This window comes from Homo sapiens, chromosome 8 (assembly GCF_000001405.40).
Source record: "Homo sapiens chromosome 8, GRCh38.p14 Primary Assembly".
Taxonomy (NCBI): domain Eukaryota; kingdom Metazoa; phylum Chordata; class Mammalia; order Primates; family Hominidae; genus Homo; species Homo sapiens.
The window spans coordinates 40,219,277-40,221,172 of record NC_000008.11 but is presented as its reverse complement, the minus strand read 5'-3'; the positions used below and the strand labels follow the sequence as shown (position 1 = coordinate 40,221,172).

The window sequence follows — 1,896 nt, the reverse complement described above, 5'->3', positions numbered from 1 at the left end:
GCTCGATCTTGGCTCACTGCAACCTCTACCTCCTGGGTTCAAGTGACTCTCTTGCCTCAGCCTCCTGAGTAGCTGGGACTACAGGTGTCCACCACCACGCCTGGCTAATTTTTTTTTTTTGGATTTTTAGTAGAGACGGGGTTTCACTATATGTTCGCCAGGCTGATCTTGAACTCCTGACCTCAAGTGATCCACCCACCTCGGCCTCCCAAAGTGCTGGGATTACAGGCATGGGCCACCGCGCCCAGCCAACATGTTTTTCATGCAACTGAAATTGACCAAAAAATATAAAGCCCTTAAATAAATATTTATCCAAAATGTATTTATTTCTTCTCACTTTGACTTCATGACCTTTTTTTCTTCCACGTTTTGCTCTTTTTTGCTTCAATGTTAATAGCTCCATTTCTGATACCCTCATCCAAAACTCATTTATGCACTGTGCTGTCTCTCATCTATTACTTTCCTGATTACATTTATCTGCTTCTCAGGCTTGTCAGCTTCAGTAGGACCTTTCAGCAGTGGCAAACTCTGAGGACTGAAAATCAAGAGTTAACCCCGTACCTTAGTACCCTAGCCTAGACTGTAAAATGTGTTCACATAGATAGTTTTGGTTGTTCTTTTTTTTTTTTTTTTTTTTGAGACAGAGTCTCGCTCTGTCGCCCAGGCTGGAGTGCAGTGGTGCCGTGGCACGATCTCGGCTCACTGCAAGCTCCGCCTCCCAGGTTCACGCCATTCTCCTGCCTCAGCCTCCCAAGTAGCTGGGACTACAGGCGCCCGCCACCATGCCCGGCTCATTTTTTGTATTTTTTAGTAGAGATGGGGTTTCACCGTGTTAGCCAGGATGGTCTTGATCTCTTGACCTCGTGATCCGCCAGTCTCGGTCCGCCAAAGTGCTGGGATTACAGGCCTGAGCCACCACGCCCGGCTGGCTGCTCCTTTTTTAATCCTCTCTGGTAGTTGCCATTTCATTGTTCTATTTCTATAGCTTTATTTACAAATGAAAGAAGAGAATCAAAATTAAAAGCAATGGAGACAGAGGTGCTTCAGAAGCTTTTATATTCTGTTCTCTTTCTTTGGCTATGCACTAAGGGGAAACTATGGATTTCCTAATATGCACTAAGGGGAAACTATGGATTTCCTAATAAGGGTAGGAATGTGACTAGAGCCCAGATCACTTTCTAGATAAGGATTTCATTAAACTGGAGAGGTATTCTTTTTTATGGCTTCTAAATAAATAAGTCACTAGATTTACAAAAATTAAAAAAATACTAATGGGTCATCATAAAGAGCCACATGGCTGTGAGCTGGAATTGATTTTCCATGAATCGAGCATGCTCCTAAATGGTCAGGGATGGATGCAGCTCTTCGATTTTACATTGGATTATGTCAGAAACAGTAAGCCCAGAATCTGATTTAATTTGAAATATAATAAAATTATATTTCTCTGCTGATTCACCAGGTGGTAGAAGTAGATGAAGAAGGGTTTGGTTTTGTTTTTTTTTTTTGGCTTTTTTTTTTAATTTCATTTTCCACCAGTCCTCCCTAAATTAATTTGACAGAAATGGCTTTTACAACAAGACAGCATGTGATAGGAATTGCATCAAGGATAATGAAAGTGTCAGACAAATGGCAAAATGTAATTGGGGTAGCTTGTTTTCTTTTCTCTGAAATTGTAATACATTTGACAAACCAAGATGTTGTGTCTGCTATGAAAACCTAAGTAGGGCAATTGTCTGGTAGTACTAGCTAGTTGATACTAATTAATAACAACAGGAAGAATATTCCAAACAAAATGTCTTAGAGACGTAGAGAATAAAATTGTATGACCAAAGCTAAAATTGAAGTTTTTGTTTCTCTCAGGTTAAAAAAGTGAGATTTGGGTTGAGGATATCTCAA

At 40.5% G+C, this 1,896-nt stretch overlaps 1 annotated feature.

Moving 5' to 3' along the window:
• Positions 755 to 1,354: an enhancer, noted in NCBI's record as "NANOG hESC enhancer chr8:40077338-40077937 (GRCh37/hg19 assembly coordinates)". NCBI's record gives its function as "activates a minimal SCP1, AML or CMV promoter by ChIP-STARR-seq in naive H9 embryonic stem cells {active_cell/tissue: H9 hESC(naive)}" and the evidence as "EXISTENCE:reporter gene assay evidence [ECO:0000049][PMID:30033119]".